At 42.3% G+C, this 19,433-nt stretch overlaps 1 protein-coding gene across 6 annotated transcripts in view, besides 1 other annotated feature; it reads left to right on the top strand.

Moving 5' to 3' along the window:
* Nucleotides 1-19,433, top strand: part of SHISA9 (shisa family member 9) — a 661,420-nt gene that overhangs the window by 176,263 nt on the left and 465,724 nt on the right. The gene's annotated exons all lie outside the window — the stretch shown is intronic.
* Nucleotides 14,682-14,841: a silencer, noted in NCBI's record as "fragment chr16:13186399-13186558 (GRCh37/hg19 assembly coordinates)". NCBI's record gives its function as "represses an EF-1alpha promoter that drives an FKBP-Casp9 reporter gene in an ReSE screen in K562 erythroleukemia cells {active_cell/tissue: K562}" and the evidence as "EXISTENCE:reporter gene assay evidence [ECO:0000049][PMID:32094911]".

The following is a 19,433-nucleotide window of genomic DNA, read 5'->3' on the forward strand; positions in this document are numbered from 1 at the left end:
ACAAAAGAACAACCATATACACATTTCTTTGTTTTGATTGCCTATGAGGACATACAGCAAGTTATACTATAATGATGAAAAAAATATGGCAAACAAGTAAAAAGAAGGCAAGGAGGACAAACAGAAGCTCAAGCAATAGAAATCCCAGGGGACTGGCTTTATTGACTAAAACCACAGTGATAATAATAAACACACATGCAGTTGGAATTAAAACAGGTGCTTATAAGATGTTTGGAAACAGGTTTGATTCTCTTGAGTAGTAATAATGATAAGAAAGAAAAATAGCAAATGTGTACACAGTTGCCTCTTAGTATCCGCAGGGGATTGGTTCCAGGACCCCCCAAGGATACCAAAATCTCTAGATGCTCAAGTCCCTCATACAAAATGGCATACTATTTGCATATAGCCTACGGCTTTCTCCTGAATACTTTAGATCGTCTCTAGGTTACTTATAATGACTAATACAATGTAAATGCTATGTAAATAGTTGTTGCACTGTATTGTTTATTTGTATTATTTTTTATTGTTGTATTTTTATTTATTTTTCTCAACTATTTTTTTTTAAGACAGGGTCTCATTCTGTCACCCAGACTGGAGTGCAGTGGGGTGATCTTGGCTCACTGCAACCTCTGCCCCTGGGGTTTAAGAGATTCTCCTGCCTCAGCCACTGGAGTAGCTGGGATTACAGGCATGCACCACCATGCCTGGATAATTTTTGTATTTTTAGTAGAGATGGAGTTTTGCCATGTTGACCAAGCTGGTCTCCAACTCCTGGCCTCATGTGACCCGCCCACCTTGGTCTCCCAAGGTACTGGGATTACAGGCGTGAGCTACCACGCCTGGCCCCTTCTCAACTATTTTTGATTCCAAGTTGGTTGAACCCTTGGATAAGGAGGGCTGATACACATTTACTGTGTGCCAGGCTCTATTCTAAGTGTTTGATGGAGTCCATGTCTCCTCATTTAATTCTGCAGCAACCTGATGGTGGAGATGCTGCAGGGCAGTGGGGGTGCTCACAGTCTTCAAAAGTACTTTAAAAATTAACCGGGAGCGTAAAAGGGGAGGGCATGTCTGATGTTCTCTAGAAGAAGCATAACAGAATAGATAAGAGCTGGGACTATGCAGCAGCCAGACAGCCTGGGTTTGAATCTTGCTAAGTGACCCTGTGTGAGTTATTTAATCCCTCTGAGCTTTGATTCCCTCCTCTTTAAAACGTGGCTAATAGAACTTTCCTCAGATAATTGTGGTGAGGGTGAAACATGGCATGGAACCTATGTGAAATGCCGAGCACAGCCCTTGGCACGTAGAAGACACAATCAATGCCATGATATGTAGTTAGGGTTACAGGATCTAGAGTCCACCTGTGTATCTTACAAGCTTTGCCCACTTGGAATTACTTCTCACCAAGCTTCCATTTTCTTATCTGGGAAAACATGGATGATGACAGAATCTACTTCCTGTGTTCTTATGAGGAAGGATTCAGATAATGCAGGTAAAGTTCTTAGTACAGTGTCTTACCTATCATAAGCTTTTACTATATATGATTGTTTTTGTTGTTAGCATTCTAGAATGATGAAAGAAGCACAGAGAAAAAGGTAGGCCATTAAAAATGACAACATGAAACCCATTATACTGTTAAGTGATTTGCGCTGTGCAATTAGCAAATTACACTCATTTTTCCCACCCCAAAAAAGTGCTTTAACAAGAGGAGGCTGCTTGTGCCAATCATAAACACCCTATAAACAACGCATTTCTCCTGGAAGATCCATTTTCTCCTGACAATGCTCTCTGTTTGATGGCATTTGCATTCCCCTTGATTTGCCTAATTTTAATGAGACATTAGATCAACATCACAAAAGCAATTTCAGATTACTCGGGTTCCTTGACAAAAATTCTATTGTCATGACATTGTTCAGTTTATACATGGAGAATTTTTGCCATTGATTTCTGGGACAAAACTCTTATGTAATGCCAGCAAAAGTGTGAAATGATTGTTTTTTTAACATATAATTATGGTTTAAAAAACCCAGGAAACACCTTCTTGTGGTGTTAACACTACACATTAGTGTTCGTTGATGCAAGCAGCAGAAACCAACCTTTCCTAGCATGAAGGAAATCAAAATATATTGAATGCCTTTGAGAAGGGAAGGCCGGGGGATCCAGAAACCAGGGAAATTTTAGGCGTCTAGAAAGCAGGATTATTGGACCATCTTGTAAACACACCACCACTCAGCCGGGCGAAGTGGCTCACGCCTGTAATCCCAGCACTTTGGGAGGCCGAGGCAGGAGGATCACGAGGTCAGGAGATTGAGACCATCCTGGCTAACATGGTGAAACCCCATCTCTACTAAAAATACAAAAAATTAGCTGGGCGTGGTGGTGGGCGCCTGTAATCCCAGCTACTTGGGAGGCTGACGCAGGAGAATGGCATGAACCCGGGAGGTGGAGCTTGCAGTGAGCCTAGATTGCGCCACTGCACTTCAGCCTGGGCGATAGAGTGAGACTCCGTCTCAAAAAAATAAATAAATAAGTAAAAAACACCACCACTTGGTCAGCTCCAATTTTTATCTTAGCCTAGTTTCATTTAAGATGTAAAGTCCCAAGAAGTGTCCCATTGGTCTAGTGTGGATCCTGTGTCTGCCCCTTCATGGGTAAGGGAGAATGAGACTTGATAATTTCTAGCTTCACCAAGACCACAGACATTGGAGGAGAGCAAATTTCCTAAAAGAAGAGCAGGATTGAGAGGACTGAGGAGATGGTGTGTTTGTAGGTGTGGGAACTCCTTTTCTTTAGTTATCATTTACCAGAATTCCTAGTGAATAATGCTTTGCAGTGATTAATGCCCAACTTTTGCTGGCTATTGACTGTCACTGGAGACATAAAATAGCCATGCTGTGGAAGAAGGTTGTTACTATGTGTGTTAGTCACCACAGACCATAGACGGAGTGGCTTAAACAACAAATATTTATTTCTCACAGCTCTGGAGACTGGGAAGTCGAAGGACGAAGTGCCTGCAGATATGGTATCTGGTGGGGACTGGCTTCCTGGTTTGCAGATGGTGGCTTTGTCACTGTATCCTCACATGGCCAAGAGAGAGGTAATCTCTCTCATGTCTCTTCTTATAATCTCACTCATGAGGGCTCCACCCTCATTACCTAATTACCTCCCCAAAGCACCACCTCCAAATACCATCACATTGGGAATTAGCTTCAACATATGAATTCGGAGAGATACAAAAACATTCAAATCATAGCCCTAAATGATGGAGAATTGGGGTTTTCAAAACCATTCTTAGTCTCATTTTATTTAATTTAGAAGTTTTTGCTGTACCTAGGGATGGATAGAAAATGTGTTTTCCAAAACGCAGGCATTCTTTGTGATCTGGACTTTTCAGTCATTTTGTATGGAGAGGGAGTGCCTGGTCTAGATTGAGACCCAAAGCTGTGGGAAGGGATCATTTAGCACGGGAAGATGATGAGATGGCAAAGACAACTTTATAGCACTCTTTATCATGGATGTAAAAGGGTCAGGCGAGGCTGACAAGCCAGTCCTCACGGCTACTGTGAATAGGCCAAGGGAAACTGGGCTGAAATTGCATTATAAATTATTTAGGTAGAACATGAGGAAAGACTTGCTGGCTGCAAGGGAAGTTAGACATTGTGGCAAGCCTTCAAGGTATTTTTTTTTTTTTGATCCGAGGTAGCCAATGTGTGCATTCCCTCCTCCTCCACCCGTGATTCCACATCTATGGTGTATATCACCAGATAATCAGAGCGCTTGTCTCCTCCTAGGCAGGAATGGATCTCAGGATATTTCTCAACACAGCACTTTAGAGGGTTTTTATTAGCTGGGCATGGTGGTGGGCACCTGTAATCCCAGCTACTCAGGAGGCTGAGGCAGAGAACTGCTTGAACCCGGGAGGCAGAGGTTGCAGTGAGGCAAGATTGCGCCACTGCACTCCAACCTGGGTGATAGAGCGAGACTCCATCTCAAAAAAAAAAAAAAAAGGTTTCTACTGATCAACTAGATTTAGCGTGTGTGTGTGTGTTTGTGTGGTAGTGATGGTGGTGGTGTGGCACAATTTACTGCCCCTCATCTAGATTCAGAATTGGGAATGTAAGTGGAGACATGAGCTGCACTAATTATCTTTTCAATATTTCACCTTACTTGGGAGTTACCGCCAACTCATTAAGTAACTGCTAAGGCAACAACGACTACAACAACAACAGAACCCCCCAAAGGGGAAATAAAAGGACAGTGAAGCTTACAGGGTGTGAATTATTTGAAGCAGTGTGAGGTATTAACCAGAAGTGTTTAACTCCCTTGAGAACGCAGAATAGAGACATATCATGCAAGGCTTTTTGCATTGTATACAATAAGAAAATGCAAAACATTCTGGCTTAAATAATTTATGCAACTTATTGACTAAAGCAACAGGAAAATCAAGTTATGATGCCCAGTTCATGTGGGGCTTAATCTAGTAGTTTAAAGACCTGAGTTCCTCTCTCTTTGCCTTTTCATTCCATCCTCGGGCACCTCTTGGTGGGTCATCGTAGCTCTATGCTCTTTTCTTCTGGTCTGAAAACAGCTGCAGCAGCTGCACAATTTCCACCTTCAGCACATCCCGTTCACAGAAGAGAGAGTGTCTCTGCAGGTACCTCCTTCTCATGTCCCGGCATTCTCTCTCTTTCTCTTTCTCTCTCATTGGCTTGAATGGGATCAGTGTCTGGGAGATGCCAGGAAGGTCAATCCTTAGAACCAAGGGGAAGATCAGTCCCGTCTAAACCATATGGCTAAGATTGGTGTACAGGTAAGTTCCCCAAATGAGAAGCAGATTATGATTGAAAGGAATGGGGAGAATGGATACTGGAAAGGCAATGAAAGTACTCTTTGCAATGGTAGTTTGTACATGTGTGGGTGGGGGGCTGAAGTCTCTTGCCCAAGAGCCACTCCTTAAATAAAATAGGAATAAGGAAAAGATGGAAAGTTCATCCCATCCAGAGGTGACCAAGGTGCAAATTGTAGAGAAAACCCTTTCCTTCTTAAGAGAGTCCATCACCTCCTTCATTGCCTTTTGATGTAGAAATTGGGGTTTGGGCCAACTTTTCCACTGGCTGTCTTCTCCAGGTTTGCCTGGAGTTTTGCCCCATTAGCAGCCACTGCCATGTGTGTTTGTGCACCCAGCTTAGCTGGGAACTGATGTGCCAAGTAAGCCTGTGCTCCCCTAGTGCTGGTGGATAGAGGGGAGGGGCAGCCAACAGTGGGGTCACCAGAGGACTAGCAAAGGAGGAACTTGAGGAGAAGCAGACACTATTTCTCCTTCTCTGTTTCTCCTGGCAGTTCGTGGCTACTCCATGGGGCTGGATGGCTACTCCAACAGGATGGAGACATTTTTAAGATTCAGGCTTGAACAAGTTGCTCAACTTCTCATGGTCTCATGCGTCATCTCTATACAATGATCATAGAAGTGCATCATTGTGCGAATAGTTGTAGGCGTTCCATGAGATGATGTATGCAAAACAAGAGGGCTTCACTTTGCATCTTAGGTTGGATTCCCTAGAAGCAGAGTTTGAGATGGGGATTCTTGTGCAAGTGATTTATAGAGGGACACTTTCCAGAGAAGGGTAGTGAGGAAAGCAAGATTGTGCAGGGCAAGGAACTCAGCAAGGATGTGGCAGGGAAAGGAGACCAGCTAGGTCAGCTATTCTTCAGCCTGATTCCATGCGAAGCCCTAAGCATCAATTGCATCTCAGAGCTGGTTCCACTTTGAGGCGAGGGTCTGGCCTTCCATATTCTCATGTTAGTCATTGACTATGGGCTGCTTGTGTTTGTCATTGACTATGGGCTGCCTTGTCTATGGGCTGCTTCAGGGGGTGGGGAAAGAAACCTTATTGGCAAGGTAGCTCCCATTCAGCTAGAGCCAATTTTCCATAGACGAAGGTGGCTGTGAGCCATTAGCAATCATCATTCACAGCCTCTGGGGGATGGGGACACCTGCTGTGAAAAGAATCTGGGCAGGGCACCAACGGTATCCACCACACCATGATGGATACAATCTGGTTTCAAAGCGGGAGGGAGGCAGGATTTGGGATTAACTCTAGTTTATAGACCGGAGAACTGAAGTCGAGAGATCAGGCAACTTGCCCAAGGTCAAACTGCTAGCAGGCATTAGAGAAGAAATGAGGAGGCAAATTTCTTGCCTCTTGCAGTGAGGTTATTCATATGATCATAGTTTTCTAAAAAAAAAGAAAAAAGGCTAGTTTCTTATAAATTATCTGCCCAGCCCTTTATTTTAAAAACAAGGAACCTGAGGGCCAGAAAAGACCAAGCAATCCAAGTTCACAGAGAGAGTCAGGCAGACCCAAGACCAAACCTGCATAATCATATCCACCTTTGAACCCCACAAATCTCATTCTGCTGCTTCTTTTTGAAAACAGGCAATGAAGGGAGCTGCTGTTGCTTTGTGGAAATATGTTCCCATGAACTCAATGACCTCCCTGCTGCTTAGAACAAATCTTGATCAGGCAGTGAATAAACCTTCCAGACAACAGTATTCTTGCTTCAGGAGAGGCTTGTGGGAAAATGCAGTGAGCTCAGGTGCCTTAGAGTGAGAATGACAGACAGGGCTGGAAAGAGAAATCTTGCATTTACTTGACAAATATTTATTGTACTAGGTGGTGGGGGTGTAGCACTGCACACTCCAGACAGGTTCCTCTTTCTGGAGTTACAGTCCAGTGGGAAAGGCAATAATTAACTAAACTACCCTTCATGGGATTTAAATGACAATGATGGTACGTGCTATGAAGAGGTTCGGGATGTTGTGTGAACATATGACTGAGGGACCTGACCTCATTTGGGGCCAGAAAGCTTTTCTCTTAAGCTTAGACCATAGACCATAGACCATAGACAGACTGGCTTAAACAACAAATGGAGATATAAAGAATGAAGAGAACTTAATGAGAAAAAGGGGTTGAGGGAGGGGCTGGAAGAACATTCCAGGCAGACGGAACAGCTTATGAATGATTTCCAAGGGGGGAAGGTTTTGTTTGAGGCCAATTTATTTGAGAAAGACCAGGGTGGCTGGAGATCATGGTGAGAATGGGTTTGATTGGAGATGAGGATGGAGATTCAGTTCTTTAATAAAAGGGAAGACATAAAGTGAAGGTAAGCAGGAAGGTGTCCCAAATGTGTGTGTTTGTGGGGCAGGTAATAGGACAAGACTTGTGTTGTAGAAGTATCATTCTGATTGTGGTGGATTGAGAAGGATATCCTTACCAATATGGTGGACTCAACTGGCAGCATTGCAGACTCAACTGGCATGGCCCTCTTTTTCTTCAAAACACTTAGACCTAGTTGAGACTATTTCTCTATATCTATGTCTATATATCTATATATCTATGTCTATGTCGATACCTATACTCCAAAAGAAAGAAAGATAAATAATTATTAAGGAAGAGCTAATAGTATTTTGTCTAAAGGATTAGACAAAAAAAAAAGGAAGAGCTCCAACATAGATATAGGTTCTAAAACATAAAGGCTTGTGTTGATAAAAGCCGATGTCTCATCAAGAGACAGGTAACATGGCCTAGAGCCAGTGTGAAATGTACAGCTGCAACTGACATTCCTAAAATAAGGCTAGGACTTCGCCTGTTTTATGAAGGGCTAGAAAAACTCTGTTGACATATCCAAAGAAGCTATAAGGAAGGTTGTCGCCTGCCCAGGGTTCAAGGCTGATAAAAGAAAATCTCTGGTGAGAAAGTAAAAGGTCAAGTCTACGTTATGTGTAGGTGCACCGCCTGGGTGTAGGAATTCTAATGTGAGAAATTCAGGTGTGATCTAATCTAGGGCTAAAAAAACACCTGGTGAACAAGCTACCTTCGCAGTCTTATTTCTATATCCCTTGACTCAGGGGACTTTTACAGAATAAAGGAACCTCTGTTGAAGGTTCTAATAAAAAATTATAATCCAGGTAATTAGGCATCTCACATGAAGGAAAGTTAGCACACACAATAAGTAGTAATGTCTCAAGAACTTGAAACAAAGGAACCAAATGAAAGAAACAATAAAATAAGTTTGTTTAAAATGATCAAAGAGAATTTTTTTAAAAAAGAATGAGAGGCCATAATGAAAACACAAGAGTATTGTTTAAAGAAAAAAACAGGAAGATTGTTTTTAAAGCTAACTAAAATTTATAGAAATCAATTATATTGTCATTGGCCTGTCACAGTGGCTCACGCCTGTAATCCCAGCACTTTGGGAGGCCGAGGCGGGCAGATCATGAGGTCAAGAGATTGAGACCATCCTGGCCAACATGATGAAACCCTGTCTCTACTAAAATACAAAAATTAGCTGGGCATGGTGGCATGTGCCTGTAGTCTCCGTGGCTTGGGAGGCTGAGGCAGGAGAATTGCTTGAACCCGGGAGGCAGAGGTTGCAGTGAGCCGAGATCATGCCACTGCACTCCAGCCTGATGACAAAGCAAGATTCCATCTCAAAAAAAAAAAAAAAAAAAAAAGAAGAAGAATATTGTCATTGAAATTAAATAGTCAATTTCAGAGTTAAACAACAAATCAGATATAGCTTCAGAAAGAGGTAGTAAATTGAAAGACAGATGTGAGGAAATTAGGAAAGATAGACCAGGATGCAAAAAAAGGAGACTTGAGAATGGATTGGAAGAAGTCCAGAGTAGATAAGAAACATGCTTCAGTTGTATAGGTGAGAGATGATTGTGGTGTCTTGGGCCAAAATGGTACTAGTGAAAATGGAGACAGGGAAATGGATTAGAAGAAAATTTAGGATATTTGTATTTCAAAATTGAGAAAAAGAACATGTCAAGGCAAAGAGATGTATGCTTGCCTTCTGAGGAAAACAACCACCAATGGATGGAAGCAGGAGAGAGAAAGATTCTAATACATTATAAGGAAGATTTTGTTTTTCTAAGAACCAGACTTTTATTTTTTATTTTTTTAAAATTTATTTCATCTGTTTTCTTTTTTATTATTATTATACTTTAAGTTCTAGGGCACATGTGCCATGTTGGTTTGCCGCACCCATCAACTTATCATTTACATTAGGTATTTCTCCTAATGCTATCCCTCCCCAAGCCCCCCACCCCCCAACAGGCCCCGGTGTGTGATGTTCCCCGCCCTGTGTCCAAGTGATCTCATTGTTCAATTCCCACCTATGAGTGAGAACATGCGGTGTTTGGTTTTCTGTCCTTGTGATAGTTTGCTGAGAATCATGGTTTCCAGCTTCATCCATGTCCCCGCAAAGGACATGAACTCGTCTTTTTTTTTTTTTTTTTTTTTTTGGCTGCATGGTATTCCATGGTGTATACGTGCCACATTTTCTTAATGCAGTCTATCATTGATGGACATTTGGGTTGGTTCCAAGTCTTTGCTATTGTGAATAGTGCCGCAATAAACATACGTGTGCGTGTGTCTATAGTAGCATGATTTATAATCCTTTGGGTATATACCCAGTAATGGGATTGCTAGGTCAAATGGTAATTCTAGTTCTAGATCCTTGAGGAATCGCCACACTGTCTTCCACAATGGTTGAACCAATTTACACTCCCACCAGCAGTGTAAAAGCATTCCTGTTTCTCCACATCCTCTCCAGCATCTGTTGTTTCCTGACTTTTTAATGATCGCCATTCTAAATGGTGTGAGATGGTATCTCATTGTGGTTTTGATTTGCATTTCTCTGATGATCAGTGATGATGAGCATTTTTTCATGTGTCTGTTGGCTGCATAGACGTCTTCTTTTGGGAAGTGTCTGTTCATATCCTTTGCCCACTTTTTGATGGGGTTGTTTGTTTATTTCTTGTAAATTTGTTTGAGTTCTTTGTAGATTCTGGATATTAGCCCTTTGTCAGATGGGTAGATTGCAAAAATTTTCTCCCATTCTGTAGGTTGCCTGTTCACTCTGATGGTAGTTTCTTTTGCTGTGCAGAAGCTCTTTAATTAGATCCCATTTGTCTATTTTGGCTTTTGTTGCCATTGCTTTTGGTGTTTTAGTTATGAAGCCCTTGCCCATGCCTATGTCCTGAATGGTATTGCCTAGGTTTTCTTCTAGGATTTTTATGGTTTTAGGTCTAACATTTAAGTCTTTAATCCATCTTGAATTAATTTTTGTATAAGGTGTAAGGAAGGGATCCAGTTTCAGCTTTCTACATATGGCTAGCCAGTTTTCGCAGTATCATTTATTAAATAGGAAATCCTTTCCCCATTTCTTGTTTTTGTCAGGTTCATCAAAGATCAGATGGTTGTAGATGTGTGGCATTATTTCTGAGGCCTCTGTTCTGTTCCATTGGTCTATATATCTGTTTTGTTACCAGTACCATGCTGTTTTGGTTACTGTGGCCTTGTAGTATAGTTTGAAGTCAGGTAGCATGATGCCTCCAGCTTTGTTCTTTTTGCTTAGGATTGTCTTGGGAATGCAGGCTCTTTTGTGGTTCCATATGTGTAGTTTTTTCCAATTCTGTGAAGAAAGTCATTGGTAGCTTGATGGGGACGGCATTTAATCTATAAATTACCTTGGGCAATATGGCCATTTTCACGATATTGATTCTTCCTATCCATGAGCTTGGAATATTCTTCCATTTGTTTGTGTCCTCCTTTATTTCGCTGAGCAGTGGTTTGTAGTTCTCCTTGAAGAGGTCCTTCACATCCCTTGTAAGTTGGATTCCTAGGTATTTTATTCTCTTTGTAGCAGTTGTGAATGGGAGTTCACTCATGATTTGGTTGTCTGTCTGTTAATGGTGTATAGGAATGCTTGTGATTTTTGCACATTGATTTTGTATCCTGAGACTTTGCTAAAGTTGCCTATCAGCTTAAGGAGATTTTGGGCTGAGATGATGGGGTTTTCTAAATATACAATCATGTCATCTGCAAACAGGGACAATTTGACTTCTTCATTTCCTAATTGAATATCCTTTATTTCTTTCTCTTGCCTGATTGCCCTGGCCAGAACTTCCAACACTATGTTGAATAGCAGTGGTGAGAGAGGGCATTCTTGCCTTGTGCCAGTTTTCAAAGGGAATGCTTCCACTTTTTGCCCATTCAGTATGATATTGGCTGTGGGTTTGTCTTAAATAGCTCTTATTATTTTGAGATACGTTCCATCAGTACCTAGTTTATTGAGAGATTTTAGCATGAAGGACTTGAATTTTGTTGAAGGCCTTTTCTGCATTTGTTAAGATAATCATGTGGTTTTTGTCTTTGGTTCTGTTGATATGATGGATTACGTTTATTGATTTGCGTGTGTTGAACCAGCCTTGTATCCCAGGGATGAAGATCATGGTGGATAAGCTTTTTGATGTGCTGCTGAATTTGGTTTGCCAGTATTTTATTGAGGATTTACGCATTGATGTTCATCAGGGATATTGGTCTAAAATTCTCTTTTTTTGTTGTGTCTCTGCCAGGCTTTGGTATCAGGATGATGGTGGCCTCATAAAATGAGTTAGGGAGGATTCCCTCTTTTTCTATTGACTGGAGTACTTTCCGAAGGAATGGTACCAGCTCCTCTTTGTACCTCTGGTAGAATTCGGCTGTGAATCCATCTGGTCCTGGACTTTTTTTGGTTGGTAGGCTATTAATTATTGCCTCAATTACAGAGCCTGTTATTGGTCTATTCAGAAATTCAACTTCTTCCTAGTTTAGTCTTGGGAGAGTGTATGTGTCAAGGAATTTATCCATTTCTTCTAGATTTTCTAGTTTATTTGCATAGAGATGTTTATAGTATTCTCTGATGGTAGTTTGTATTTCTGTGGGATCAGTGGTGATATCCCCTTTATCATTTTTTATTGCATCTATTTTATTTTTCTCTCTTTTCTTCTTTATTAGTCTTGCTAGTGGTCTATCAATTTTGTTGATCTTTCCAAAAAACCAGCTCCTGGATTCATTGATTTTTTGAAGTGTTTTTTGTGTGTCTATCTCTTTCAGTTCTGCTCTGATCTTAATTATTTCTTGCCTTCTGCTAGCTTTTAAATTTGTTTGCTCTTGCTTCTCTAGTTCTTTTCATTGTGATGTTATGGTGTCAATTTTAGGTCTTTCCTGCTTTCTCTTGTGGGCATTTAGTGCAATAAATTTCCCTCTACACACTGCTTCAAATGTGTCCCAGAGATTCTGGTGCATTGTGTCTTTGTTCTCATTGGTTTCAAAGAACATCTTTATTTCTGCCTTCATTTCATTATTTACCCAGTAGTCATTCAGGAGCAAGTTGTTCAGTTTCCATGTAGTTGTGCAGTTTTGAGTGAGTTTCTTTATTCTGAGTTCTAATTTGATTGCACTGTGGTCTGAGAGACAGTTTTTTGTGATTTCTGTTCTTTTACAGTTGCTAAGGAGTGCTTTACTTCCAATTATGTGGTCAATTTTAGAATAAGTGCAATGTGATGCTGAGAAGAAGGTATATTCTGTTGATTTGGTGTGGAGAGTTCTGTAGATATCTGTTAGGTCTCCTTTTTGCAGAGCTGAGTTCAGGTCCTGGATATCCTCGTTAACCTTCTGTCTCACTGATCTGTCTAATATTGACAGTGGGGTGTTAAAGTCTCCCATTATTATTATGTGGGAGTCGACATCTCTTTGTAGGTCTCTAAGGACTTGCTTTATGAATCTGGGTGCTCCTGTATTGGGTGCATATATATTTAGGATAGTTAGCTCTTCTTGTTTAATTGATCCCTTTACCATTATGTAATGGTCTTTTTGTCTCTTTTGATCTTTGTTGGTTTAAAGTCTGTTTTATGAGAGGCTAGGATTGCAACTCCTGCTGTTTTTTTGCTTTCCATTTGCTTGATAGATCTTCTTCCACCCCTCTATTTTGAGCCTATGTGCATCGTTGCACGTGAAATGGGTCTCTTGAATACAGCACACAGATGGGTCTTGATTCTTTGTCCAAGTCTGTGTCTTTTAATTGGGGCATTTAGCCCATTTACGTTTAAGGTTAATATTGTTATGTGTGAATTTGATCCTGTCATTATGATGTTCGCTGGTTGTTTTGCCTGTTAATTGATGCAGTTTCTTCATAGCATTGATGGTCTTTACAACTTGGCATGTTTTTGCAGTGGCTGGTACCAGTTGTTTCTTTCCATGTTTATTTAGTGCTTCCTTCAAAACCCTTGTAAGGCAGGCCTGGTGGTGACAAAATCTCTGAGCATTGGCTTGTCTGTAAAGGATTTTATTTCTCCTTCATTTATGAAGCTTAGTTTGGCTGGATATAAAATTCTGGGTTGAAAATTCTTTTCTTTAAGAATGTTGAATATTGGCCCCCACTCTCTTCTGGCTTGCACGGTTTCTGCTGAGAGATCCACTGTTAGTCTGATGGGCTTCCCTTTGTGGGTAACTCGACCTTTCTCTCTGGCTGCCCTTAACACTTTTTCCTTCATTTCAACCTTGGTGAATCTGACAATTATGTGTCTTGGGGTTGCTCTTCTCGACGAGTATCTTTGTGGTGTTCTTTGTATTTCCTGAATTTGAATGTTGGCCTGCCTTGCTAGGTTGGGGGAGTTCTCCTGGATAATATCCTGAAGAGTGTTTTCCAACTTGGTTGCATTCTCCCCATCACTTTCAGGTATGCCAATCAAATGTAGATTTGATCTTTTCATGTAGTCCCATATTCCTTGGAGGCTTTGTTCATTTCTTTTTACAATTTTTTCTCTAAACTTCTCTTCTCACTTTATTTCATTAATTTGATCTTCAATCACTGATACCCTTTCTTCCACTTGATCGAATCAGCTACTGAAGCTTGTGCATGTGTCACGAAGTTCTCATGCCATGGTTTTCAGCTCCATCAGGTTATTTAAAGTCTTCTCTACACTGTTTATTCTAGTTAGCCATTCGTCTAATCTTTTTTCAAGGTTTTTAGCTTCCTTGCAATGGGTTCACACATCCTCCTTTAGCTCGGAGAAGTTTGTTACTACCGACCTTCTGAAGCCTACTTCTGTCAACTTGTCAAAGTCATTCTCCATCCAGCTTTGTTCCGTTGCTCGCTAGGAACTGCGATCCTTTGGAGGAGAAGAGGCGCTCTGGTTTTTAGAATTTTCAGCTTTTCTGCTCTGGTTTCTCCCCATCTATGTGGTTTTACCTACCTTTGGTCTTTGATGTTGGTGACCTACAGATGGGGTTCTGGTGTAGATGACCTTTTTGTTGATGTTGATGCTATTCCTTTCAGTTTGTTAGTTTCCTTCTAACAGTCAGGTCCCTCAGCTGCAGGTCTGTTGGAGTTTGCTGGAATTCCACTCCAGACCCTGTTTGCCTGGGTATCACCACCAGAGGCTGAAGAACAGCAAATATTGCAGAACAGCAAATATTGCTGCCTGATCCTTACTCTGGAAGCTTCGTCCGAGAGGGGCAGCCACCTATATGAGGTGTCTGTTGGCCCCTGCTGGGAGGTGTCTCCCAGTTAGGCTACATGGGAGTCGGGGACCCACTTGAGGATGCAGTCTGTCTGTTCTCAGAGCTCAAACTCCATGCTGGAGAACCACTGCTCTCTTCAGAGCTGTCAGACAGGGATGTTTAAGTCTGCAGAAGTTGTCTGCTGCCTTTTGTTCAGCTATGCCCTGCCCACAGAGGTGGAATCTAGAGGCAGTAGGCCTTGTTGAGCTGTGGTGGGCTCCGTCCAGTTCGAGCTTCCTGGCCACTTTGTTTACCTACTCAAGCCTCAGCAATTGTGGACGCCTCTCTCCCAGCCAGGCTGCCACCTCACATTTCGATCTCAGACGGCTGCGCTAGCATTGAGCAAGGCTCCATGGGCATGGGACCTGCCAAGCCAGGCACAGGAGAGAATCACCTTGTCTGCCAGTTGCTAAGACCTTGGGAAAAGCACAGTATTTGGGCAGGGAGTGTCCCGTTTTTCCAGGTAGTCTGTTGTGGCTTCCCTTGGCTAGGAGAGGGAAATCCCCCAACCCCTTGTGCTTCTTGGGTGAGGTGACGCTCCGCCCTGCTTCAGCTTGCCCTCCTTGGTCTCCACCCACTGTCTGACCAGTCCCAGTGAGACGAACCAGGTACCTCAGTTGGAAATGCAGAAATCACCCATCTTCTGCGTCTGTCATGCTGGGAGCTGCAGACCAGAGCTGTTCCTATTCGGCCATCTTGGAAAGCCGTAATTGAGAATCAGACTTTTAAACATTATATGACCATTAGAGATGTGATATGAACCTAACACTTTTTGACACCAAAACCCATTTGTGGAAATACTGATCTGGTATGGAAAGGAATATAGCTTTGAAGTTTCCCGGGGGCATAGAGTCCTGGGTTCTGTTGGCAGCAGAGGAGTTGGAAAGGGTGAGGAACATGGGGCAGCCAGTTCAAGTGGCTGCACCCCTCTTGTTCTGAGTCTTGGCCCAGGGCTTTACTTCAACCTAGGGTGACAAGATGACTTAGATGAGAGAAACTTCTATCGTAGATCCTGCCTGTCACTATAACTGTTGGGTTAAGAAAAGCCCATCTCTGCCACTTACTAGTTGGTGATCTTGGTCCAGTTGCTGTCCATCTTTGAGCCTCAGTTTGTTCATCTATAAAGTGGGATTGATGATAAGACTTATCTTGCAGGGATTTAGATGGGATTAACTGCATAATGCACAAAGGGTCCATACAAGAGGAGTTTTCATGAACACTGGCTGTCATGGATTTCCAGATAAGGACCTGCAAGAAGTGACTTAACTATTGAAATTCAAGGTATCATGTGCATATGAGAGGTGGGGGGAGTGGGGCTGATTATAAATCAGCAAAATCCCAGAGAAAGCCAGGTCTCTGGGAAAAGTCTCGTTTCCCTTTAGTAACTGGTGCTGCAGTTCGGCCCTGGATTTTTGTCCAGGCGCCCACATGTGCTTTGAGGATTTCCTCAGGAGTCTGGTATTTCGCTTCGTTGACCTCCCCAATCTCTGCCTTTGCATCCGTTTGTGTCTTTACTGAGAAGGGCCTCTCTAAGTACACCACACAGCACTGCGGGGCCTATAAATAGTGACAGGGCAAACTAGTTCAGATGCAATTGTTGCTGACTCAGACATTCGCTCCTCTGGCAGAAGGGAGGCACCATAGGATTTAAATAGGTGTGGCTCATCCCTCCCCTTCTGTGGGCTCCTTACTCCTTGTCTGCCTTTCCCACCATTCTGCCTGCGTCCCAGCCACCCCCACTGAAGGTAGGTCCCAACAGAAGCTGGCCCTTTCACAGGTCTCCTATACCAAGGAGGCTGCTGGGGTCCCGGTGTCTTGGTACTTTTCCATTCTCTCTTTGTCCTTTGCCACTGTGCTAGCAGAAAAGACGTTGGGAAAGAAAAGATTGTCATTGTCACAAGAAAGGAGATAAGGTAAAGTATGACAAATTTCCCAACCGTGCTCCTCTGATACGAGTTGTGGGTAGAGGAGGCAGTTTTTCTCCCCACCTCGAAACTGCATAAAACAGTTGACAAAACAGGCAACTTCCCATCCTTGGAAGATGACTTTGAAATAGGCCATTAGACAAAAGTAAGCTAAGAGCCAATGTATTGCTAAATATACTCATTCTTATAAAATCTGCTATTTTTGAGTTAAATGTTGCGGAAATTACCGAATTTGCATTTAATTATTTTAATACATCTTGTTTACAGATGACTAGGCAAAAATAAAAAAAAAATCCCCCAAACTAATTCACTTTGACTGCTCCGGTTGTAACTGTGCCTAAAATAGAAAAACTTACTCTGAATATTTTCTCAAAGTCGGAGGGAAAGCCAACTTTAATTCCATTTTGTCTCAGTGTCAATACCACACATACTGTTTCTTCTATTAAATGAGATTTATACTTTCGAAGTCAGGGATAAAATATATTTTCCCCATTGAAGGACTCTTCTAGACCTGTCTCCTGATTGGCCTGTAGACTTTGTTTTGGGTAAAATGAGGAAGAAAGTGTTATATAGTCCACAAGGGCATGGCCTTTATGGTTAAGCAGACCTGGGGTTGAATTCAAGTTTTGCTTCTTACTAGCTGTGTATCCTTGGGCAATTCACTTAACCTCTCTGAGTCCTGGTTTACTGTTTTCAAATAGAGACAGTAATTTAGCTGTGTAAGTGTTATAAAAATTAACAATAACATATGTAAAGCAGCTACTATAGTGCCTAGCAAACAGTAGGTCCTCAGTAAATACATATTTCTTCCGTTTCCTCCTCTCCTTCCCTCTTTAGATGTGATCAGGCATTTTCTTCCTCCTTGATAGAGAAAACTTGATAGGTTAAATGGTCTGTCAAATGGTTTACAGGTCCCAGGGATAACTGTGAGAGAGAAGAAGAGAATTTTCTGAGCAATCGTTGTTCCTGGCCATACTTGTGGGCAACGTGTATTTGGAGCTTGTTTCTCAGAAGGAGATTGGCAGGTGTCTAGTCTACTTGAAATGCTTTTCATTCCTGTCTCTGCTTTAGGGACACCCAGGGCCATCAGTCTAGCAATCTGCTTTTGTGCTTTGAAGCTCAGCTGAGGATGCTGGGGAGTGGTCAGCTTTGCTGTTTTGTTTCTGTGTTGGCAGATCCCCTGCATTCTGCAGAGGTTGCACATCTTAACAAAATGGGGAAGAAGCAATGAGTGAAAAAAGGCAGATTAGAGGGGCCATACCCATGTGTGGCCACCTCACTGGGCTAGGGAAGGGAAAACGAAAAGGGAAATGGTGGTGGTTAGGGGTGGCTTCCAGTATCCTCCTCAGAACTGTTCTAGCTCCCATGACTCTTAGAATAATATTTGCCACATATGAAGGAAAAGGACTACAGTCCAGACCATCTTCATTTAACTGAATTCTAGCTGTGGGTTTCCAAGTATGGGAGGATAGCACATTCATTCAACAAACACTGCACAACGAGTTCCATAAAGGCAGGGGCTGTTGACAATCTTTTCTCACCAGTGTACTCTCAGCATTTCACATACTATCAGGCACCTTGTGAATACTCGATAAATAGTGAATGGGTTTATACAGCAAGGCAATCAACTCTAGCGCAATGGCTCTCAAACTTGAGCGAGCATGCATCAGGATCACTTGGAGAGCTTTTTAAAGCACAGATTGTTGGCCAGTTTGCCTAGAATTTCCAAGTCCTTATGTCTGGGGCAGGGCCCGAGAATTTCCAGTTGTAGTAAGTTCCCAGGTGATGCTGTTGCTGCTGGTCCAAGGGCCATATTTTGAGAACCACTACTTTGGTGGTCAAGAGTGAAAGCCCTGGAGTCAAGAATACTTGAGTTTGAATCCCTGCTTCACTGGGTATTAGCTGGTTAACGATGAACAAGTCACTTAACTCCTTTAAGCCTCTATTTCTATGTCTATGAAGCGCAGATAATCATATGTATGTCATAGGATGATTAAGAGGATTAAATGAGATTGACTTAAAATTTTCAGTGTAGGCCTTGTTTATAGTAGACACTCAATACACAGAAGGTAGCTGGATTATGTACTGAGCATGTACTTTGGCAAGGCCCTCATCTACCCTTAGGTAGCTCATTTACCCAAGCCTTGCGACACAGAATGCAGAGACAAACGCCATATCATCTCTGCCCTCAAGAAGCTTATAGATTAGTGGGGAAGCCAAGTGGTTAAAGCAATAATCATTTACCATGTGTTAAATGTAGGCTCTTGTGGGGCACAGAGGGAGGCATTCAACCTAGCTGGGGCTGGGGGCTCAGGGAAGGATCCTGATGCAAGACTCATGCTGAAGCTGAATCTTAAGTGTAGAGAAGATGGGGAAGGTTGATATAGGCAGAGAAAATGTTTGAGTAGAATTGGAAGGGCCCATTTGGTGGCCTTGTAGTTATCCAAAAGCCTTTCACGGTGCCCAAATCTTACTATGAGTAACTTCTTGGAGTCAAGGCAGAGTCTATCTTGGAAGTTTAATTCATTGAACCTTTATTAGATGTAGACTTTCTTACTCGCTCAGTTCCACCTTCTTGGACTTTTGATGTTTCGTGAACATCTAAAGCTTGTTCTCACCCCAGCCTTTTGGATGTGCTATTTTTTCAACTGGGAGCTCTCTCTTCCCTGAGACTTACTCATGGATGGCTCCTCTTCTTGTCACCTGCTCAGACAGGCCATTCTCTGACGCCTATTTTAGAGTGACCCCTCTGTTCCCTACACTATATTCCTACTGGGCTCCATTTCTCTTCAGGGCACATCTCACTCTCTCAAGTCACATATTTATTTACTCATTTATTTTCTCTCTCCCCAACTAGAAGTGCAGCTCCATGAAGACAGGGACTGTGTCTGGCTTAAGGGCTTAGGTATATAATCAACACTTGATAAGTGTTTGTTGAATGACTGTTGAGTAATACTAAATGGGTGAATGAGTGAATCCCTATACAGAACCCCACAATGGTCCTTGGAGACTACCTAGTTTCTCTCCTTCATGTTACATTGGGAGGAATTGAGGCCCAGGGAAGGGAAGGGAATTTCCCAAAGCCACACAGGGAGTTGATGTTAGATCTGGCCTT

The sequence above is a fragment of the Homo sapiens genome, chromosome 16, assembly GCF_000001405.40.
Source record: "Homo sapiens chromosome 16, GRCh38.p14 Primary Assembly".
Lineage (NCBI taxonomy): Eukaryota > Metazoa > Chordata > Mammalia > Primates > Hominidae > Homo > Homo sapiens.